The sequence below is a fragment of the Homo sapiens genome, chromosome 9, assembly GCF_000001405.40.
Source record: "Homo sapiens chromosome 9, GRCh38.p14 Primary Assembly".
Classification (NCBI taxonomy): domain Eukaryota; kingdom Metazoa; phylum Chordata; class Mammalia; order Primates; family Hominidae; genus Homo; species Homo sapiens.
This window is the reverse complement of record NC_000009.12, coordinates 130,590,543-130,615,138: the sequence shown is the minus strand read 5'-3', so window position 1 is coordinate 130,615,138 and position 24,596 is coordinate 130,590,543. Positions and strand designations below refer to the sequence as shown.

Below are 24,596 nucleotides of genomic sequence, written 5' to 3'. Positions count from 1 at the left end.
TGCTTGCAATGTGATGGCAGAACAAGAGACTTTAAGCTCATCTAGACTCCCTGAGAAATGGAAACAATAAAACAACCCTACCTATTGAGTCAGATATAATCTTAGCACCCCTGTCCCCAAATGCAGTGCTGCTCCGTAGATTGAAGGACAGTGAGCAGGCTCTAAGTCAGTATGTTTCCCTTTCCCAGGAGATTCTTGGATTTATGACACCTGCACCTGGTATAAGGTTCTGAGTATGTGAGTAACAGGGTAGGAAAGCAATGTTAGTCTTAAGACTGTTGCAAGGGCGCCAAAAGTCAAGACATCCTCTGGCCAGTCCGTACGGCCCTCTGAGTAGAGCAAAGTCACGAAGAGTTGATTCATTTGGTTCACAAATATCAGAAGGGTAACGGGATCAGCCTCCAGCCAAAAGTCCTGGTACCAGGATTCTCAGTAGCTCACCAAGTGACTGGCTTACTAATCCAGACCTGCTCAGGTAAAGGAGGTGTTAACAAGGAAGAAGTAAGTTGATTAGAGCATTCAGGTGGGGTGAATGTACACTCCTGAGACCCTGGTTTGAAGTAGATGTTATGACAGCTGTGGGGTTTAGAACAAATGTGATATCTCGTGTATTTAAGGTAACAAAAACCCCTGGCACAGTAACCTCCCAGATTTTTTTCCTATGGAATTATCTACCTGTGTGGCCAGACTGCAGCACAGACTCAGTGTTCAGTAACAGTGTTGCCCTTCCATTTCTCCCCATTTGGGGAAGGAGGAAGAAGAGTGAAAGAAAAAGTAAATAAAATAAACTTACTCAATACTTTCTGGGGTTCCGGTAAGTACACAGGGCCTCTCTGGAATCCCAGAACTCTCTATAAGAAGAATCAAGAAGATGAGGGGTGTTGGTGGGCACCGGGCACATGCACCTCTGCCTCTGTAAGGCTCTCTAGGGCTGCTTCCTACGCCAGCCCTGCAGAGGCCCAGGCTCCCAGAAAAAGACAGTTTGCTTCCACTTGTGGACAGAATATTAAGCTGGTAGCTCCACCCTAGATTCTCGAAGTAGAAACAAGTCCCACAGGGGAAGCTAGAAGGACGTGACAGAGGTCTGTGAGTTGGTCCTGATTACCCATCTCAGCTTCACTTCTGACCCACTCACATGCTAGTAATTGTTTCAGTCACTTTATCGTGCTATTCCTCAGTTTCTCCATTTGTAGTTTAATGGTCATTTGTCTGCACACGGCAAGTAAACTAGTACTCTAGGAAGGAACTTCATGACACGCACATCAGGACCATACCAGTTACTGCATGAATGTCCCAAGAGATCAGTGACATCTATGTGGAACTGGGCCATTTAATGAGAGAAACACGTTACTTTCTAACACCACATGTGATGCCTCATTTTGTTCCTGAAAAAATTTGCTTCTTAAAATCCTTCCTCAAAAAAAATGAAAGAGAAATAGCTAACAGGACTTACTGCCTTCAAGACACTGTAATAAGTATCTTTTAAAAGGACATTTTTCTAGTCAAATGTCCTTCAAACCCCTTCCTTTGCAATGGAAAGAGGTCAAGCTCAAATTAGATGACAAAACCATAAATAAAATAAAAAATTGTTCTTCACTCCATCTCTCTCCATGTTGCATGGTCAAAATGGACCCAGCTAGGAAAGGTCATAAAACATGTTCAGTGAGTGCTAATTCAGCCAGGACCCCCAGCTATCCTCTTCCCACAAAGGGAAGGGACAGTCTCATCCATGGGAGCCTCCCCTGATGCATGTAGTCAAGGAGTGACCCCAAAGCCATAGGATTCCTACAGGCCCCACTATGCCACTATGTCTGGCATAACATTCTGGTGCAGAAAACATAGGTCCTAGAGTGGCAGGTGTTTGGGAAGGGGCCATGTCTGGCCACAGAGCTGAGGGAGGGTTTACCCCAGAAGCCAGATAGGAGGCCTTATCTCCGGGCCCACCTTTGCTCTGATCCTTCTGGTTCTCATTTAGGAGTCCAACTCCCAAAGTGCAAGGAAAACACTAATCGCATATACTTACCCAAGCAACAAGCAAAGTACCGAATCTGGAAAGTTTTGCAAAATACTGATTTCTACAAAATTGATATCTATTTTTAAAAAGCCCTTACCTGAAGCAATCTGAATTTTGCAACCAGATTCTGCTTGAATCCGTGAAATCTGCTCACCTCCCCTGCCGATAACTGAAACAAATTGAACAGGGTCAGAATACACGCCCCTATTCCATATTTCACCACGCAGGAATGACTGAATTAATTCCACAAACTGTGACACTTGGCTCACAATACTACACATCGAGTTGGCCCCCGTGAGCCCATCTCCACTCTTTGGGCATGATGGCAGCAGAAAGCCCTTGTGAAACAGCCTACAGGCAGAGGGGATCTGAGCTGAGGTGGGGAGAGGTGGGGAAGGGAGGGACATCCACAGTCCAGTGCTCTGGTTTCTCCCTCAGCCTGAAGAGACCTGCAGCATTTCAGAGCTGTGGGGAATGGCATGTGCAAAGCATTCTACTACAGGTGATACTCACAAGAGAGATTAAAACAAAAAGAACATCCTGGCAAAGCAGCTCAGAAAAAAAGAGAGAAAAAGAAGAGACAGGAATCAGGGAAAAAGTAGACAACATGGATACTTACTAAATCCAACCATTTTGTCAGGCACTTTGAATTCTTCCGTTATTACCGTCCTAAAAACAAAGAACATTTTGGAAAAAAATACAGAATACAGACTTTTGCAGCCATTTTAGGTCCCCAAACTGCCCATACTGGCAATGTTGCATGATAAAAGCTTAAAATACATCAGGCCAATTTGGCCAACAAATCCACCACCACCTACAAAGAGTGTCACGTAATGAACCGTCTGGTCAATCACTCCTTCCAAAGATCTAAGCCTTTCATCTCCTTTTGTCAGAGGAAGAAACCTCAGGGTTTTCATGAAACCATCACCTCCTCTAACAGCTGCCTTTTCTTCATACAGCACCTCTCAGTGTTGCCTCATTCTGCCTGGTTAGGTGCTCTCTAACCAATGGGCCATCAATCCCAGGTCACTGAAAGGTCCTCCAGGGTTTTGGGAGATGTTTAGACTTCTATTGTGGAGTCCTCTCTAGATGAAGAGATATCCATCTTTTCTTCAACATCCCTTGTTTCCCAATCTTTTTATTGTTTTCTGGCCTCCCTTCTAATTTATGGATGTTTTTAACGGTGAGACGCCCCAAATGGAACCAGTATCCGATGGAGGCGTAATCACTGTTGACCAGAACAGAATAATTACCTCACTTACTCTGCAAGGTACTTCTGTTAAATGCTATCCCATCCATTATGTGCCTTTTTTTTTTTTAAACTACTACTGCACTGGCTTTTTTCAACAAACCTTCAAATCTGCCATAAAGTGTATTGTGGACAATGTCCAATTTGCCCAACACCCCAGAAAGCAATTAAATCTCAACATTTACCTTGGGAGGATGCTAAATGCAAGTAGTTTAAAAAAAAAAAAAAGGCAAGCATTTTTAAACATCTCTCACACAGCTGGGTTTTTACCCATCACAGAAAGGATTGAATAAGTGCATATTTTTAGGGAAAGTGCATCACTTAAAAGAAATGCAATAGCATAAATAGCACTTGCCACTGTATCATTTTGATGGGAACAAACAGTCTTCTCCCTCCCTCCTTGAGGGAGTTTACACCCTCAAGCTTATGAACAAGACGGGATTCTCTCCACCTCTTGCGATGTATGTGTTCTCCCCAAATCAGGCAATTCATTCCCAGCTTCCTAATCAGTAACACCATGGATGTGAATGCCAAGCCCTGCTGTCCCAACACGTCCTGCAGCAGAAGCCAGGTCCCTGTCAGGATGTGCTTCCTGACCTTGTTATGAGGGATGACAGGGCTCTTGTGCGTGTGGCCAGGAGGCTGCTGCTCACACCATGTGTAGCATGAGCTGTCTATTCTGTCTACTCTCAGAAAATATTACCTGGGAATTGACTAGAGGGGCTTCAACACTACTGCAATACAAAATGTCACGAAGCCCAGGCAGCCCTTGGCCCTAAGGAACACTTTAGCCAACTGTGAGGAAGAAACATTCCAAGACGAACTGCTCTGGGTTTCCAGGAAGAAAACGTTCTAATCTAAATGCAAGGCTGAAACTTGTCCAAGGTACAAAATATAAACACCTTGGAAAAGAAAATCCTGACTAGTTATGGCTTTATAGGAAAGTCAGCATTTGATACTAACGATCACCTCATTTAAATTTTTCAGTTCATCAACAAACAAAACAAAGCAAACAAAGAAACAACAATAACAACAACCACCAAAAAAACCCCAGGATAAAACTTTTGTTTAACTGATGACCGGTGATTTCTAGAAACTCCCAAACACCTAGGCAGAATACAAGATGACAGAATTGTTTTGCTGATAGAAGGTTAAGGATATGTTACAGCAACAGATACATAGCACAAAATTCATCCTTCCAGAAGAGAAACTGTGGCAGTTTCTTGTATATTTTTCCCTGTTTGAAGGGCGATACACTATGACCACACATACCCCATCTTACAGATTGGCCTTTGTAAAACTCAGGGCTCTTTCTGTATCTCTCTAAATCTTCTACGTTTGACAGAAGGCTATGAGGGGACACAGAAACAGAGAATTAGCTGGGCTGAGGCTCTCTGGCAAGTCCCTACCACTTCGGAAGGATGGAACCCTGGCTTCTGGCCTCCTCACCACGCACTAGCCACCCACCCATACTCCCTGGGCACCCAAAGCATTCTCTTGTGAGTGTCTGACCCTCACACTTCGAGGTGTCTCTTCTCAGGTGAAGGGGTTAAGGATTAATAAAATACTGGCAACACCACAAAACCAGGTGGGAAAATCTCATTCTCTCCTTTTAAATTAAATGTACATTGGTAGAAAGAGCAACTCCAATCTTCTACAAGTATTTTAAGTTACTGCAATAATGGCTGATTTTTAATGCCTTGTATTAGTTTATCCCTGAGCTGACACTATCTTAGAAATGGCTAGCAAAAAACTCGAGTCTTAAAGAAGCCTAACCCATGCTTTTTCACATTCTCAACCTCTGACTTTCTAGCACTCTAGTACAGATGGTGGATCAATAAACAATTAGAAATGATCAATAAATAATAAAACGTAACCCACTGCTTACCTTTGATGTACCAAGGCCCCTAACTGGTTACCTACTGTGGCAAAGAGAAAGAGAAAAAAAAAATCAAAGCATTAGCACGGATAAACTAACTTCATCCTTACCATTCTTACCATTTCGGGTGGGGTGGAAAAGAAAGGCAGAAAGAAAGCAAACAGTAATTTAGGCTCAGTGGCTGAAATGAATGCGTTATATGATATGAAACAGGAGGGGACATCTTGATCAACACAGTCTGTAACCCAGTGTCCAGCTGAACACAGGATAAGAAATTGATCTGTGTGTCCACATGCTGTGAGGCCTGGGAGAAAATCCTGCTAGCCTAAATCCCTCTAACTTCCTACCTCCCTCCTGCTCTGGATCCAAACTCAATGTAAAGATGGAAAGAGATCCTTCTTTCTCTTTTAAAAACAAATGAGAAGATTTACCCTCCTTGGATGCATTGTTAAGGACTGCTCCACAGCAGCTGTAGTCATGAGGAACACGCACATATGCTCCTCCTGGCCACGGGGGAGGAGACGCCCCCTGGTGCCCCCCTCGCCGGCCCCCCCACCCCCAAGACCATAAGCATCTGAAGGAGAGGATCCAGCCTCCTACCTCCACAGGCCTCGTCACGGACCCACCAGAGCAGTCCATGTGCAGCGGACACTAAGAATGAGCAACTGCCTTTCAAGCCCATTTCACAAAGACAACGGTGCCAAACAGCCTCTTATTATTAAAACCAACTCTGTAATCACATTCCCACAAAACCACTTTAGCTACACTTTTTGTTCCAGTTTCTCCTCTTTCAGCTATTGATGAGTGTCTCTCCTTCACCAGCCATCAGCAAAAATGATTCTGTAGTGTTTCTCTTTTGGAAAATGCAGCTCAGGAAACACAGTCAGCAGACAATGAAAAAATACAAATCCTAAACATATCACAAAGAACCAAATGCACCTTACAACATGCTAAAAAGGGCATTCAGAAATACGTCTTTGGGGAAAGTTATTCTAAGGACATGAGCTAAGTCGCAAAGGATCGATTACACCCACTTGAGGACAGAGAATGAAATGGTTTGACAATTGAACTCCATCTGAATCAGAACAGGGAGCCAACTGCTCTGCTTGTGCTCAAACTCACTGCTGTCATTCTCCGACTGGACAGTAAAGAGACAAAGGAAAAAAAGCAGACCGTGACATTTAAAAAGAAGAAAAAGCAAAGCAAAACAATGCTAGCAAAAAGCAAACGAAGCTACTAAGTCAATACCATATTTCTTCTGGATCAATAACAAGATAATGGTCTACAGCCAAAATATTGACACTAGACACTATTAATCTGCTTATCTCAGGGATAAGAGAATTGTTTTTTACTGACTCTTAAAATTTTCTCTTTGCCTATCTGTTTGAATATAACAAACATTCTTGCTTGGAACAGGTAGTGTTCACAACTCCCATTCTGCATGAAAACTGGACAATCACCAGGTCAGGAAAGAAATCCTCACCACAGACTCAGCCCCTGAATAATGTTGGGGCTGAGACATTCCTGAGGGAGGTATGTTGGCCACATAGGGCAGTGGGGAGGAAAAGAAACACACCAAAGGAGAATGTCAACGACAGAGTACCTGTGAGCTTGGTTAGCTGTTCCTATTTATGGGTCAAGCTCAGCTTCCCTGATTGCTATCAGAATTCCCCTCTTAGTGGGTAAAGAATCTACTGAAGCCAGAAGAACTAAAATGTCTTGAAATGATGAGAACACAGAGGAGAGGTGCTCAGCATTCCTCAGCTGGGGGAATGAGGCCGCACCGTGGGTTCTGGTCCACTGCGTTGTTTGGTAAAGGATGTCAAAGGGCCGATGATCTTCAGAAATTTCTGTCTCAGCCAGAAAAGCCACAGAAACAAAGGGCAGTGCTACCATAAAGAACTTCCTGAGATTCACAAGAATATTCAGAGGGCTCCTGTTCAAAAGCCATTTGAAATTTTGTGCTCATCACAAAAATGGCAATTCCTTTTTGTTGGCAAAGTATGTGTTACAGGTGCCACGCACATGACACCATTCCTGCCAGCCACGGTGGAGGCACTCATAATGACCAGAGATGAAAATGTTCACACTATCATCCCACAGATAGATGGGCTGCTGAGAGCCGCATCACTGAGAGGAAATCAGGTTCAAGTCCAGAGTCAACTCTGAGCTGGCAGATGCTTAGGAAGGATAAATCATCTCCCTCCTCCATGCAAATGCTGGAGTCCACCCAAGGCTGAAACATGTGATTGCAGTTTCATTCCCTTCGGAACATTCCCATTTGCTGCCTAAAAATGAAAACCAGCAGTTAGATCAGGGGCGCTGGGTACTCATATGGCCAACTTCTATGTCCAACTCCAGGAACAGGAACCTCTCCTCAGTCTTCGCAATGAGGAGGGGTCACACTAAGGAGGCAGATGGGAACACCTATCATATTCAATTGAATGGAACTACACTCATTTTCCTGTAAAAAAGGAAAAATGCTGGGTAAAATCAGTCCTGTTTCCACTAATGGTGTGTGCTGGTTGACAATGCATCTTCTTGCTTCTAAAGGTCCCGTTGGAGCAATTCCAGCATATACAGGTGTAGTTCTCGTTTCCCTTGTGCACTATATAATACGAACTGCCTGGGCTGTGAGTCATCCTACGATATCATAAATTCTTTCTGAAGAGTAATACTCTGCCAATTTTAATAATAATCTTAAAAAAAAAAAAAAAGGAGGTCAGGTCAGGTGCTGTCACTCATGCCTGTAATCCCAGCACTTTGGGAGGCCAAGGCAGGCAGATAACTTGAGGCCAGGAGTTCGAGACCTGCCTGGCCAACATGGCAAAACCCTGTCTCTAGTAAAAAAAAAAAAAATACACAAATTAGCTGGGTGTGGTGGTGCACATCTGTAATCCCAGCTACTCGGGAGGCTGATGCACAATGAACCGGGGAGGTGGAAGTTGCAGGGAGCTGGGATCGTGTCATTGCACTCCAGCCTGGGTGACAGAGCAGAACAATCTTAAAAATCAATCAATCAAACAAACAATAACACAAAAAAAGGTGATCAGACACATTTTTCCCTATTAGTGAAGAAAAAAAGATTTCATTTTTTTTTTCTCCTCCAAAAGAAACAAAACTGCACTGGGAAATACATGCAACTTTGCAATACACATCAGCTTTTTTTTTTTCCTGAGACAGAGTCTCGCTCTTCTTGCCCAGGCTGGAGTGCAAAGGCGTGATCTCGGCTTACCACAACCTCTGCCTCCTGGGTTCAAGCGATTCTCCTACCTCAGCTTCCCGAGTAGCTGGGATTACAGGCATGCGCCACTACGCCCGGCTAATTTTGTATTTTTAGTAGAGACGGGGTTTCTCCATGTTGGTCAGGCTGGTCTCGAACTCCCGACCTCAGGTGATCCGCCCACTTTAGCCTCCCAAAGTGCTGGGATTACAGGCGTGAGCCACCGCGCCCGGCCACATCAGCTTTAATAGTTATACCCCCACTCCCACCCCAGCACAAGGAACAAAAATGCCAATTCCTCCTTCACGACAGCACAGCCAGCACGGGCTGGCACCCACACGGAACCACTGGCCAGAGGCAGGTGAGTGAGTCTGTTGGGGGGGGGTGGGGAGAGAGGAATACCAGTTTTTATAACTGTAAAAACAAATAACCCAAATCTTCCTTTTTAGATTTTGAAAACAATCCCCCCTCCTCTGCCTCTTCTTTGGATTTGCAGTCTCCTCTGACTGACCAATGGCTTTCCACACCCCAGCTCAGGTCAGTAACACACACTTAGCGGTGAGGATTCAGGGCGTTTTTAGAAAGCTTTTCCCCCAGGGACACTACAAAGGCTTCCTGTGTTCTAGGCAGCAACTCTTGCTCCAGGGCCACAAAACACTGACATGCTGAGTTCAGCTGAAAGTCCTTTGGCAAGCATAATTTATTAATTTTGCAAATTATTTTTTAAAAAGTGAAAGTAAATTCAAGTTTATCTCAATAATGTCACTCTTTTTTGTTGTTGTTGTTGTTTGAGACAGAGTCTCGCTCTGTCTCCCAGGCTGGAGTGCAGCGGCGCGATCTCGGCTCACTGCAACCTCCGCCTCCCGGGTTCGTGCGATTCTCCTGCTTCAGCCTACCAAGTAGCCAGGATTACAGGTGTGTGCCGCCATGCCTGGCTAATTTTTGTACTTTTAGTAGAGATGGGGTTTTACCATGTTGGCCAAGCTGGTCTCAAACTCCTGACATCAGGTGATCCGCCTGCCTTGGCCTCCCAAAGTGCTGGGATTACAGGTGTGAGCCACCGTGCCCAGCCAATCACATCACTCTTACTTGTAGTCTACTGTAAGCTTCTGTGAGTGGAAAGACCACCACCCCCAGCCACACTAGGTGCTTTCCTGGGCACCTCACCTGCGTGAACCCACTTGGTCCTACAAGAACCCACCTTTGAGGCAGCTACTGTCACTGCCATTCCCATCTTACTGAAGAGGAAGGTGCGATCACACTGCACCCAAGCCCTCAGAGTGGCATGCAGGCGAGGGGCCTGTGCCCATGCAAACTCTGTACCCCTTCATCTTCCCCTGTCCTTTAATTTTGTGGGTTTCAACACTTATCACTGTTTAATTTTGTGCTATTAACTCTCTTGATCATTCTTCATCTCACAAGTCAGCGCCTTCCAGGTGCTGAGCACTGTGACAGGACCTGAGGATACAACAGTCAACAAAGCCACCTTTGCCCTCAGGGAGCTTACAGTCTAGCAGGGAAGGCAGAAGGCAACAGATGAGGGGGCCTACCCTAGCCTCCAGGGACGTGTTGGGCCCTGCACCTTCTCCTCAAGAGCCTAAGAGGAAAAAGAATTCTATGATAGTATATTCATAGCCCTAAGCTTTACTTTCATTTACGCCAGTGTCATGAAATCAATATAGGGGGTCACAACCAGCTTTATTAATAAAAATGAAATAGAAAACAGAATGTACCATATATAATAAGGGTAATGTATTTCATAAAACTTTCATTTCAGTCACATATGTGTTTTAATATGTCTGTACTAACTAGTTCTGATGGAAACAGTTTTTCTCACATTGGGAGTGGTATTTCTTTCTTTTTTTTTTTTTTTGTTTGAGACAGAGTCTTGCTCTGTCGCCAGGCTGGAGTGCAGTGGCACGATCTCGGCTCACTGCAATCTCCACCTCCTGGGTTCAAGTGATTCCCCTGCCTCAGCCTCCCGAGTAGCTGGGACTAAAGGCGCGCACCACCATGCCCAGCTAATTTTTTTGTATTTTAATAGAGGCGGGGTTTCACCTTGTTGGCCAGGATGGTTTCAATCTCCTGACCTCGTTGATCTGTCTGCCTTGGCCTCCCAAAGGGGATTACAAGCATGAGCAACCATGCCAGGCCCGGGAGTAGTATTTCTTAAAGCTTGAAAATAACATGATATAACCCTCATGATAATCTGATGAGGCAGGTATCATCAGGTCCATTGTACAGATGAGGAAACACAGGCTCAGAGACGTTAAGGAACTTGCCCAAGGTCAAACAGCTAATGACTAGCAAAGCTGGGATTCAAACCTTGATCTGTCAGACTCTGAAGTCCACATGTTTAAGTACTATACTATTATGGCACATGAGACAGAGACCCAGGTTCAACCTCCCTTCTGTCACTTATCATGTATCTATCTGGCCTTGGTCAAACCACTTACTTCTTCAGAGACACTGGTTTCCTTATCTACAACAATAAGGAGTTTAAGCTTCAGGTTCCCTTCTAGCTGTGATCTTAGGTGACCCCCTCTCCTCCGACTCAATCCCTAACCACTGGCAACCACTAATCTGTTCTCCGTTCCCAAAAGGTTACATAAAGGGGATCATGCAGTATGTAGTTTTTTGGGATTGGTTTCTGGCACTCGGCATAATTCCCTGGAGATTGATCCAAGTTGCTGGATGTACTCAGCATTTGTTCCGTTTTACCGCTGAGTGATATTCCACGGTATGGCTGTATCGCAAGCAGAACCATTCATCAGTTGAAGGACACGTGGGCTGTTTTCAGTTTGGGACTATTATGAATAAAGCTGCTATGTGAACAGGCTCTTGTGTGAACATTTTCCTTTCTTGGGGATAAATGCCCAACAGTGCAGTTGTGGACTGTGCGTAAGTGCATGTTTAGTTTTGTGACACTCCCAAACTGTATTCGAGAGAGGTTCTACCATCAAGTTGAACTCTGGAAACCTATGAATCCTCTTTTAATTTGGCAACTACTTTTCTTCCCTATTAACAGCTGCGAAGAATGTAACAGGCATTGTACATGAGCTCGAGTTATATTTTTGTCACAACATTGATGCTGCAGGTTTAGCTCATTCATTTTTGTGGAAAATGAATACTATTTTACCTAGCTGGCTAAGCCAACTGTCCACCAACCAGTCACATGATGCTTTGCCAAGGGGAAAAATCTCACTGCCTTTTTCCAACTTACACATATGTATGTACCCATGTGAGTATCATCTCACTTCTGAATTATAATCCTAAAATGCATAGATGGGTGAAGGGAGGGAGGAAGAAACAAATGCAGGTGGCTGAGGTAGGGGGGTAGGGCACAGAGCCTGTGCCAGGAGTTGTCAACTGGATAAAATCAGACCCTGTCCCCTTCACTATTTGTTTTTTTTTTTTTTTTTTTTTGGAGACAGAGTCTTGCTCTGTCGCCCAGGCTGGAGTGCAGTGACACGGTTTCAGCTCACTGCAACCTCTGCCTCCCGGGTTCAGGCCATTCTCCCACCTCAGCCTCCCGAAGAGCTGGGACTACAGGTGCACGCCACCACATCCAGCTAATTTTTGTATTTTTAGTAGAGACTGGGTTTTACCATGTTGGCCAGGCTGGTCTTGAACTCTTGACCTCAGGTGATCCTCCCGCTTCAGCCTCCCAAAGTGCTGGGATTACAGGCGTGAGCTACCATGCCCAGCCTCCCTTCACTGTTTCTTACCAAGGCTCTACCCTTTGTTACCTTGGGATTCTCCATTCAGAATTCTTGCCTGGCCCCACTGCTTGGGGATTTTTCCACCCCAGGTGACCGCCCACTGTACACCAAAAGTGGGGAACGGGAGAAGGGGCGTGGCAGGAAGGGCATAACCTTCAGGGGCAGACGTGACTCTCAGAAAGGCCCATTTTAGGGAAGAGGGCAGACAGGAGGTAAGGAGCTGAAAAAGGAACCTGGGAAGCCTGCCCATGTCCACCGCCCCTGGAAAGCCTTCATCTGCCCTTGATGATGACTGCCCAACCACATCCCAGCCTCACTTTACCTCTTCCCTCTTCACAAAAGGCAAACCTTCCTCCTAACCCCTCCTACTCTCAGGAACTAGGTTTTGGTCTTGGCTTTTCATCCCTCCAATATCTGTCATCATCCCCCATTCAGGGAAAGTATCAACACTTCTGAGATTCACTTCCCTCTTTCCAGAGTGGAGACTGGTGGCCTCAGCACCTGCCTGGGGTGCAGGTCACAGGCAGGGGTCCGGGCATCATGGCTCTCACCACCGCTAGCACTTGTACCTCCTATCTCCTGTCTCTCCTTGAGGTCTGGGATTTTCAAACGTCTTTTCCTCCCTCCTGTCTTCCTTTTCTGTCCTTGCCCTATGCCACAAGTACTGAAACAAAGCTTGGAAAGGATCACAGAAATAGTCTATTTCACTCTTCCTGCAAATAATTCATTTGACAGAACGCCCAAGAATTCGTCCTTTACCCCGTAAGAATACAGCAGTTCCCCCTCATCCATGAGGGATATGTTCCAAGACCCCTGGTAGGTGGCTGAAGCCATGGAGAGTACCGAACCCTGTATACGCTACATTTTTTCCTATACATTGGTGAGTGGGTAGTGTATACAGTGTGGATACACATGCTACTCAGAATGGTGTACAATTTAAAAATTAGGAATTGGCTGGGTGCGGTGGCTCACGCCTGTAATCCCAGCCCTCTGGGAGGCCGAGGCAGGTGGATCACGAGGTCAGGAGTTCAAGACCAGCCTGGCCAACATGGTGAAACCCCATCTCTACTAAAAATACAAAAATTAGCTAGTTGTGGTGGCGCACGCCTGTAATCCCAGCTAATTGGGAGGCTGAGGCAGGAGAATCACTTGAACCTGGGAGGCAGAGGTTGCAGTGAGCCAAGATCGCACCACTACACTCCAGCCTGGGTGACAGAGCAAGACTCCATCTCAAAAAAAAAAAAAAAAAATTAGGAATTATTTCTAAAATTTCCATTTAATAATTTCGGCAGTGGTTGACCGTGGGTAACTGAAACCGTGGAAAACGAAGTCATGAATAAATGGGGAACAACTGTATTATCAAAAGTAGAAAGTGTGGTACTATAAAAGGTGCTGTTCTTCAGCAGGTCATGAAGTAAAAAGAATAAAAAGGACAAAAAAAAAGGTGCTACATAAATAGCAAAGACGAGTCTTTGAGTGAAGAGGCAGGCATAGTTTCAAAGCCCCTTGCATGGCCTTACCCCCGCCACCCCAGTGGTGAGGACAGTGCTGTACTCTCCTGAAGTCCTGGTTTTGGTGCCACCCACTACACAGAATGCAGGGGGAGTATGAGGCCTGCTTAGTTCAACTAAAAAAGCTCCTAAAAATGCTCCTGAGGAAGAAAACTGGAAAGGCTTTGATCTTTGATCAGGAGAGATACAGAGGGACAAATGGGAAGTGACTTCTCTGTCTGTCCATCAGCTCTGGGCAAACATGAGAAAGCACTTGTTTCAGGTGGTTAGGGCAGTTGGACAGTGAACCATGAGACGGGAGACTTGTTTAAAGAAACTGGGGGAGGGGTACTCTCTATATACTTCCCTAACTAAAGATGAAGAAAATGTTTTCATCAACTGATGAGGCTGATTTTAGTTGAGGGCTGGCAAATTAAGCTTGAGGGCCAGCTGCCTGTTTCGGTGAAATATCTTATTGGCTCACAGCCATGCTCTTTGTTTATGTAGATGCTACAGCTGTTTTTGAACTCCAATAGCGTAGCTTAGTAGGTGGGATACATAGCCTGCAAGCTTAAATTTATTTTTGTTTGTTCTGAGATCACTATGTCACCCAAGCGGAGTGCAGTGGTGCGATCACTGCTTACTGTGGTCTTGACCTCCCAGGCTCAGGCAATCCTCCCACCTCAGCCTCCTGAGTAGCTGGGGCTGCAGGCATGCACCACCACACCCAGCTAATCTTCTTTCATTTTTTTGTAGAGATGGGGTCTTGCTATATTGCCCAGGCTGGTCTCAAACTCCTGGACGCAAGCAATCCTCCCACCTCGGCCTCCCAAAGTGCTGGGATTATAGGCATAAGCCACCATGCCTGGCCCCTAAAATGCTTACTATCAGGTCCTTTATAAAAAAGCTTGTTGCCAGGTGCAGTGCAGTCCCAGCTACCCAGGAGGCTGAGGTGGGAGGATCACCTGAGCCTGGGGGATAGAGGCTGCAGTGAACCATGACTGCCCCACTGCACTCCAGCCTCAGCAAGAGTGAGACCCTGTCTTTAAAAAAAAGAAAGAAAAGCTTGCCAACCTCTAATTTAGATTACATTTAAATTCGCACTTCTAAATCACTTAGCTAATACTATTGTCTTAAATTTGGAACTTACTTTTCCCAAAATTTAAAAATGCAAATCGTAGGAAACACGGGAGAACTTGAGCATGAAAAACATGGGAGAACTTGAGCATGAAGAGTCCATGGGAAATGAAGCCAGTCTTTATGGCCACATCACGTAGGCTCTGCTAGGAGAGGTGCACAGCGGGACCCAGTAACCGCGGAAGGAAGGTCTGCCCTGAGCAGAGGGCAAATACACTGCTTTAGAAATTCAGAGAAGGATATGACTTAATATTCACTGGTCAGGTGGGTGTGTGAAAAAGGGAAAAGAGGGGGAAAGAGGGAGGGAGGGAGGGAGGGAGGGAGGAAGGAAGGAAAAGGTAGAGAGAAGACCAAGAGGCTAGGTGGCATGTGGGCTGAGCCCCGAAGAAAGTCAAAAGATAAGGAAGAGGACAGGTTTCTAGGAAGAAGTTGGCTGAGCAGGAGTTGGGCAGGTTAAGAGCTGGGTGAGGGGAGAGAGGAGACAGGCAGCCAGGCTGCTACACAGGAGGAGCACAGGAGGTGCACGGGAGGAGCCAAGCGGGAGGGCAGGCAATGGCCAGGTTGCAAGATCTGCACCTCCCTGGTTACTGGAGGAATGAAACTGGTTGGACTGACTGCAGGGAGAGGCTCCAGTTGAAACATGAGAGAAGTACTGGATGAAAAAGGTGCCACAACTGAGACCAGAAGGCAGATTCCTGAACTGGTGGGGTGCCAAGGATGCATATCAAAGACTGCTGGAACATGTGGGTATCAAGATTGAAGACAGTGAAGGTTAAAATGGCCTGATCCAAAGCTGGAGGGCGGTGGAGTGACTGGTGACTGCTCTTCCCACGGACAGGCATTCAGGCAAGCTTTCAAACTGAGCTCTAAATTCTGCTCTGGGTTCTAAGCAGACTCATGAACAGCGTTCTGACAAGTGGCTCAAAACTGCCACTCTCTGAAACACAACTAACCCAAATCCCTTTCTATATCAGGAACAAATCCTTTCCCTTGTTCCACTGCCTAGCATATTAAAAAAAACTTTACATATATATATATATACACACACACACACACACACACACATATACTTATATATATGTGTATATATGTGTGTATATATGTGTATCTATATATGTATATATGTATTTTTTGAGATGGAGTCTCACTCTGTTGCCCAGGCTGGAGTGCAGTGGTGCGATCTTGGCTCACTGCAACCTCCGTCTCCCAGGTTCAAGTGATTCTCCTGCCTCAGCCTCCCAAGCAGCTGGGACTACAGGCGCGTGCCATGACATCCAGCTAATTTTTTGTATTTTTAGTAGAGACGGGGTTTCACCGTGTCAGCCAGGATGGTCTCAATCTCCTGACCTCGTGATTTGCCTGCCTTGGCCTCCCAAAGTGCTGGGATTACAGGCGTGAGCCACAGTGCCCGGCCTTATTTATTTTTCGGAAATACGGTTTTGCTATGTTGCCCAGGCTGGCCTCGAATGTCTGGGCTCAAGCTTTCCCACCACCTCAGCCTCCTGGGTAGCTGGGATTACAGGTGTGAGCCACCATGCTGGGCATCTCTAGGAATTCTAAGAGGAGATGGCCACTGTTTTTAGATGTGGGAGCCTTTGGGGGAAAATTCTTTAGACTCACACTGAAGATTTTAAGGGGATGGCACTCACTTGATTGTAAAAATTCGTGTGTATTTACAAAGTGTTTATGACCACAAAACAGAAAATCCACCCCAGGGCCACTGGAACTAAGATAACCATTTAAACTACTTATCCAAAATAGTACGCTGTGATCTTTTTATATTTGACTGGTGTTAGTGATTCCCTAGGCCAAATAGGGATGATTGCATTAACTGCATTTTTGCCTTAGCAGAAAGCTGTAATGCAAAGTAACCTCTTTACCTTTTCGAGGCAATCATACTTTGGTTCCTCTTGAGACAGCAACGTAAAAACAAAACTAAGTTGTCTGCCTCTGTGCACACACCTCACTAACGGACAGTGTCTCTTTGGCCCAGTGTTTCCAGAAATTGAGATCAATATATTTCACAACTCATTCAGCCTTTCACAACAATTTCACAATTCAGCCTTGTTTTTTTCACCCACTGCCTGGCGCTGAAGGGTTAAAACTTGTGCTTGCAGTGAGCAGGTATCTGCTGCGTCCTCTGCATAAGGAATACCTAAATATTTGCAAATGAAACCCTCTAGCATTTTGCAGACATTTTTCTCCCATTAGTCCATTGCACATACATTTGAAAGAAATTAGCACTAATAAAGAGATTATCAGTATTGATAAAGAGAACTGGGTCACAGGCAGATGTTAGCTGACTTGGCCAAAGATCACCCAGTAGGTCCAGAATCTCACTTAAAACCTCGGGTTCATTTATATTGCGTATTTTCACTTACTTGTTTTGATAACCATATTTTTTTCCATGTCTACCTTTTGGGGAATAAGTCTTCACAAACAGAAAATGACCATGGTTTATCTTTTTCTTCCCTCTAAATATGAAGCCCTCCTATAGCAAGAAGGAAAGTTTCTGTGTCGTGCTGAATCTCTCATCCTCCCTGAACACCCGGTCTTAGGTAACAACAGGCTGTATTTGAAGAACAAGGAATTTCCCTCAGGCTTCTTACATTCTGTATTACAGCTCGATAAAATTAATCGTGTCTTCTGTTGAGCACTGTTTAAATAACAGGATTACACATATTGTTTTTTTCTCCAAGCTGTTCTCCACGTGTAGAATTTGAGTTCTGTGTTGATCTCAGCGTCTGGGGACTGCCACAGCCCCTTTTTGTCAGTTGTCTTCTGGTAGGGGTAAGGTCACTGGGCCACTCTCTTAAGAGACAAAGAATGTGAATAAGCAGATCCTGTGAAGGGAAGTGATGTTCATGTTTACCTGGCCACCTTCTAGGCTCACAGTCTTGCTGATGGCGTGATGAAAAGTTTAGAAAAGCAGAGGCAGACCAAGCGGCCGGAATTCTGGCACATTTTTCTTAGCAATAAAGATTTCCAAAGGCTGTGTAGCTGTTTGTTTGGTTTGGCTTGGGTTTTCTTTGACAGAGGCTACCAGATCACTTCTTTAGCAACATGAACTTTCTAACTTTCCCTTGAAGCAGGGTTAACCTTTACGAGGTTAAAGTTCAGTCCTCTAGAACTTTTTGGAGGTGTTATTTGGGTCTATTTAAAAACACTTCAACTCAGCCATAAAAAAGAATGAGATCCAGTCATTTGCAACAACATGGATGGAGCTGGAGATCATTATGTTAAGTGAAATAAGCCAGGCGGAGAAAGACAAAAATTACATGTTCTCACTTATTTATGCAATATAAAAATCAAAACAGTTGAACTCATGGACATAGAGAGTAGAAGGATGGTTACCAGAGGCTGGGAAGGGTAGTAGGGGGCTAAGGGGACTCAGGGGGGAGGGGGGTTAATGGGTACGAATAAGACCTACTATTTGATAGCACAACAGGGTGACTATAGCCAACAATAACTTAATTGTACATTTTAAAATAAAGAGAGTAACTGGATTGTTTGTAACTCAAAAGATAAATGCTTGAGGGGATGGATACCCCCGTTTTCCACGAGGTGCTTATTTCACATTGCAGGCCTGCATCAAAACATCTCATGTACCCCATAAATATATACACCTATGCACTCACAAAAATTACAAATAAAATAAAATACTTCAACTCTTAAGTTAACTAAAAAGAACCTTAACATAGGGTTTATTCAGGACATTGAGATTTGCAAACAAGTCTATGAACTGGAGGATTTAAAAACGTACTAGGAGGCATGGTGGCTCATGCCTGTAGTCCCAGCTACTTGGGAAGCCGAGGTGGGAGGATCACTCGAGCCCAGGAGTTCAACGGCGCCACTGCACTCTAGCCTGAGCAGAGTGTGATCCCATCGCTAAGGAGGGATTAAAAAAAAAAACAAGAATTCCTAGAGACCAGAGAAATGAGTCATGGCAAATTATATTTTTCTATGTATATAAAAATATGCACTTTTGGGAGAAAAGATTATATAATACATACTGTTCTACATCTTCATTTTTCACATAATAATACATCACAGAAATATGTACAAACATAAATGATTGGGTACATAGCGACAGAAAAAGAACACAGAGAAGACACCGACTCACTCGACTACATGCAAATTCATGTCAATCTAGTGTACTTCACTATCTCTTCTATAGTAACAGGAGACAAAATATGATAAAGATGTCCAAGCTCTCTACAGAAACACATCTGATAGATACTCTGCCAGAGTGCTGGGGATTGGCACTTCTAAGTGTTCTCAAATTCTTTTTGGGATGGAGTAGGGTATATAAACCAGCCAACAAAACAACAAATAAACGAATTAAAGAAAAGGGATGCTTCTAGAAAAAGCCTGACATAAATGGGAATGGTGAAAAAGCTGGCAGCTAGACTGCAGAAAGGTCACCATTCTTCTCTTTCTTTAAGGTCAAGATGTAGCCACAGCTTCCCTAGAGCCATGCACCAAATCGTAGCTTTTCTGTGGAGAAAGTGGGAACTTCAATTCCCATGCGCACTGAAGAAGGGAGTTAGGCTAAATCAAACAAAATTCTCAAATAGGTCAAATTACTTCCAAGCTGATGCTCAGGGGCCAAGTCTTTATCTCAGAGCCCAGCGAAAAGATTTCTGTATTATCAAGGCAAATAGGAACTCAAATGCTGAAGAACTGCTGAGAAAAATCATCCTAAATACTTCCCTTCAACCTTTCTTCTCAACAGAGTGACACTTCAGAGAGTCGTTAAGGTAATGGCTGACAAATTCAAACTTAACTGGCAGGTTCACTACCACCTGAAAGGCAAAGATATTTCTGGCAACTTACCTCCATCATCCAAGGGCCGTTTTTGTACTCCGTATCCATATACTGAGGGGTCCACTAGAGGTGTGGAATTATTCAAGTGAGGAATTGAATCAATTTTAGCAGCAATCTACAGAGAGAATCAGATTTAAACACTCAGTAACAAACCATGGCTCTATCTGAGGGAGAAAGACAAGTGTCCTCTTTAAAGGGCTATTATCCCATTTCTCCCCTGACCTTGATTAATGGAAGGCAGCACCGCAAGAGCACAAATACTTTTCACTGTTAAGTGAGTTTTCTTTTGGTCTTAATAATAACTTGTCTTTAGTACTTTCAAAAATGTGTCTCTACCAGAAAATTAGTATCCTTTTTTTTTTTTTTTTTTTGAGACGGAGTTTCGCTCTTGTTGCCCAGGCTGGAGTGCAATGGCATGATCTTGGCTCACCGCAACCTTTGCCTCCCGGGTTCAAGCGATTCTCCTGTCTCGACTTCCCAAGTAGCTGGGATTACAGGCATGCGCCACCACGCCCAGCTAATTTTGTATTTTCAGTAGAGACAGGGTTTCTCCATGTTGGTCAGGCTGGCCTCGAACGCCCAACCTCGGGTGATCTGCCCCCCTTGGCCTCTCAAAGTGCTGGGATTATAGGCGTGAGCCACTGCGCCCGGCCGCAAATTAGTATTTTTAAGTCACCACTTAATATATAGGCACATCCCATCTTAAGAAGAAAAAAAAAAAAAAAAAAGCAAGCCAACAATTGAAGAACTTTCTTCAAAAAGTTTAACTTTTCTCACAGGGTTCGCTTATGCAACAAATTCCCCAAGAATATTTGAAAGGCCTCATGTGCTCAAATGTGACAAACGGGTCTCACTCTGTCATCCAGGCTGGAGTGCAGTGATGTGATCATTGTTCACTGTACCCTCAATTTTCCAAGCTCAAGTCATCCTCCCGCCTCAGCCTCCCAAGCAGCTGAGACTACAAGTACGCACCACCACGTCCAGCTAAATTTTTTAAAATTTATTATTTTTTTTGATATGGAGTTTTGCTCTTGTTGCCCAGGCTGGAGTGCAATGGCACGATCTCAGCTCACTGTAACCTCTGCCTCCTGGGTTCAAGCGATTCTCCTGCCTCAGCCTCCTGAGTAGCTGGGATTACAGGCATGCACCACCACGCCCGGCTAATTTTTGTATTTTTAGTAGAGACAGGATTTCACCACGTTGGCCAGGCTGGTCTCGAACTCCTGACCTCAGGTGATCTGCCTGCCTCGGCCTCCCAAAGTGCTGGGATTACAAGCATGAGCCACAGCGCCTGGCCTATTTTTTTAATTTTTAATAGAGATGAGGACTCAATATGTTGCCCAGGCTGGTCTCGAACTCCTGAGCTCAAGCAATCCTCCTGCCTCAGTCTCGCAAAGTGCTGGAATTAGCACTTTGGCTAATCCCATGGCTCAAAGGTGTGAGTCATGGTACCCAGCCTGACAATTCTTTAGGAATACACCCATCCTATAAACTTTAATGTCTATAAACTGATGTGTGATCTAAAGAGATGTAACATAAGCTTGTCTTTACTGGAAGTGTCCAGACAATCTCAGAAGGATTCCTGCAGCAGAGAAAGGGAGATGACCTCTAAGAGCTATTTCAACTTTTAATATTTATTATCAGTGAAAGGACAGAACATAGCTGTTAAAAATTTCCCCCCAGAAACAAATGGTATGCAGAACTTCTTACTTATCTACTTTGTTCTCAGCAGGAAATTATATGTGATCTTCATAATAAAGCAACTCTTTCATTTAACCAAAGGAATATTTACAGCAACTGCTCTTGATGTTAGTCCCTCAGTTAAAGTTAATAAACAGGGGTCTATTGGGGGCAGCTAGCACAGCTGTGCCCCAGAGCAAAGTCTTCAGTGGTAGTTCTGAGCTAGTCCAAATGTTCCCAGAAGTCTCACACCTATTGGGACCAACAGAAATTACCTGAAACAAATAAACAACCAAAGACAATCATGATACTGAAAACCAAATACAGGATTTAAACAGCAGACATCATCCCTTACATTTACGAGTTCTGTGATGTTGAGGCAAGCCTCCCTCCTCTCTGCATGATGCCCCAGGGTAATACCATATATTTCATAGTTTTTGAAAAGATAATAAGATTCCTGAAGGCGGAGGAATACTTGAACACACCACAAATACTAGGGTTGTAAAACAAGGCAATTCACCCAACAAATGTTAAGTACCTACTGTGTGATGGGCTTTTTGAGGCACTGGAGCTTTTGTGGTGAAGGAGAACTACCAGGCCTGGCACTTAAGAGTCAGCAGCTGGGGGAAGTTAAAGGTAAACCAGGTAATCAATAAACTGATCATTTCAGCAGGTGATAAGCATTACCACAGTAAGAGAAGATAATGTCACACAGAGCGTGCTTAGGAAGCTGCTTTAAATGGGGTGAATGGGCAGGCCATTGTGAGGAGTGACATCTGAGTCCTACGTGATGATGAGGAGCTGGCTACATAAAAATTGAGAAAGCATGTTCTAGGCAGAGGAACTTGTACAAAGACCCTGAGGCAGGAGCAAGCTTGGTAGGTATGAGCCTGGAAAAGAAGTCAATCTTGCCAGCATGGAAGGAACTAGATATGTTCCAAAGGTGGGTAGTTCACACTGGACCCTTTCAGGTCATGGTGAGGAGCTTGGACTTTATAGGAAGGCTGATGGGCAGCTACTGCAAGTCTTAAGCAGGAGAGTAACATGCTGATTTCTGCTTCTAAAACACCCCAGCCAAAAGCATGGTGGCTAGCAAAGGTAACTCCAGCACTTTGGGAGGTCAAAGCGGGATGACTGCTTGAGGCCAGGAGTTCTAGACCAGCCTGGGCAACACAGCAAGACCCCCATCTCTACAAAAAATAAAAAAGTAGCTGTGCGTGGTGGTGCATTCCTGTAGTCCCGGCTACTCAGGAGGCTGAGGCAGGAGGACTGCTTGAGCCGGGGTTTGAGGTTACAGTGAGCTACGATCGAGCCACTGAACTCCAGCTGGAAGATGGAGCGAGACCCCATCTCTTTAAAACAACAACAGAAAACAACAAACAAGATCCCCTTGACTGCTAGGAGACAAGATAGGAAGAAGGAAGGAAGGAAAAGATAGTCTAAGCCAGACTCAGCCTTAGGAGATATTACTGTAGCCTAGGCCAGGGCTTGGCAATCTACCACTGGTGAACCACTTGCCTTTGTAATTAGAGTTTTGTTAGAACACAGCCACACTCATCTCAGAGTGAGACTCTTGACTCAAAAACAAAACAAAACAAAAAGACAAGCTCTATATGAAATTATCCCGGTTCCCTTTAAATGATGCCTCTGGGCTTCCAGATCTTTTACCTTCCTCATTTTATTTTTGAGATGGAGTCTTGCTCTGTTGCCCAGGCTGGAGTGCGGTGGCGCAATCTTGGCTCACTGCAACCTCCGTCTCCTGGGTTCAAGCAATTCTCCTGCCTCAGCCTCTTGAGTAGCTGGGATTCCAGGTATGTGCCACCATGCCTAGCTCATTTTTATATTTTTAGCAGAGACGGAGTTTCACCATGTTGGGCAGGCTGGTCTCGAACTCCTGACCTCAGGTGATCCACCTGCTTCGGCCTCCCAAAGTGCTGAGATTACAGGCGTAAGCCACTGCGCCTGGCCCTTTTCTCTTCCTTCTAAAGTAGCTAAACTGTATTCCTGAGTCCTTGGCCAGCCTTCTAACGTATGTAGTAGTTTCATGTCATTTTTTCCTCCAAAGCCGCCATGATAAAAGTTGTTTCGACAGCTTCCTATTCCTAATTTAGATTAAATCAACAAGTGTTCTTCCAAAATGTGACTGAGCCTTTCAGGTTTCTTCTTAATTCATGCTCACTTCATTACCTACAATTTGGGAAATTTCCACTATGAGAGTAGTAGTACAGAATAACAGCTGGGATACAGCTCTGAAGTGAGGAAACTGCATTTGAACCCTGGTTAAACAAATGCTGGGTATGAGTTCAACATTACAATGTATAAATTACATTTATACTACGGTGTAGGCTATGTTACATTATTCTGTAAAGAAGCAATATACTCCTTCATTCTTCCACATACTACCTTGTTCCAAAAAATGATTTTAAATGCCTAATAGAATTAAACTGTAATGCGTGCTACTCTGCTAAAACCACTTTAAATATGCTATCTCATTTATTCCTCACCATGATTCTCTAGGAGGTTCTTGGCTCACTGCAACCTCTGCCTCCTGGATTCAAGAGATTCTCCTGCCTCAGCCTCCCGAGTAGCTGGGGTTACAGGCATGCGCCACCATGCCTGGATAATTTTTGTATTTTTAGTAGAAATGGGGTTTCACCATGTTGGCCAGGCTGGTCTCAAACTCCTGCCCTCGTGATCCGCCCACCTCAGCCTCCCAAAATGCTGGGATTACAGGCGTGAGCCACCGTGCCCGGCCTTATTATTTCCATTTTAAGACAATAAAAACTGGGGCTCAGACATGGAGTGACCTGCCCAAAGTCACCCATCTTATAAGCGGCAGAAACAGCCTGCTCTATTTTATTCCTTTCTTAATAAACTTGCTTTCAGTTTACCAAAAAAAAAACAAAAACAAACAAAAACAAAAATAAAAAGTGGCAGAAACAGTATTCAAACCCAGGTCTGCCTGACTCTGGAGTCCAAGTAAATGGTATGTCGAAGATTCAATGATATGGCAAAAACCATAAAGGAGGTACACAAATCATTAAAGTTAGAAAACATTAATTTCCTATTTTCAATTAATTATTCTCAGTGCACATTTTCAAGACTAAAATTCTCTGACCACTTGGCTGCTCCCTTCCCTCCACTTAATATTTTCTTAAACATATCTCAGTTCCCAAGGACTTAAATAAAGCCTGACTTCCAGTGCACAGAGCCCAAGCAATTCTTCACATAATTGATCATTTTAAACAGTAGTTACTTAAGGGAAGTGAGGTACAGTCCTCAGTTCATAATGCTGTAGGCCAGGAGATAAAAGCCAGGATGGTCCACAAAACCAAGGCCACTCTCCTCCTTATCTGCAAGCGTGACCCTGAGAGG

The 24,596-nt window shown here is 44.5% G+C and overlaps 1 protein-coding gene across 4 annotated transcripts in view; it reads right to left on the bottom strand.

Annotated features, from left to right (window-relative positions):
- The window catches only part of FUBP3 (far upstream element binding protein 3), a 58,776-nt gene that overhangs the window by 23,214 nt on the left and 10,966 nt on the right, over positions 1–24,596 (bottom strand). For all 4 annotated transcript variants that reach the window (XR_007061369.1, NM_003934.2, XM_005272232.3 and 1 more), the window contains exons 2-6: positions 19,551–19,656; positions 5,152–5,185; positions 2,634–2,683; positions 2,112–2,183; positions 794–851 (exon numbers count right to left, since the gene is read on the bottom strand). Coding sequence is in view for 3 of the 4 variants with exons in the window: in NM_003934.2 (NP_003925.1) it covers positions 794–851; positions 2,112–2,183; positions 2,634–2,683; positions 5,152–5,185; positions 19,551–19,656 (320 nt within the window). In the remaining variant the exon portion in view is untranslated. The remainder of the gene's footprint in view (positions 1–793; positions 852–2,111; positions 2,184–2,633; positions 2,684–5,151; positions 5,186–19,550; positions 19,657–24,596) is intronic.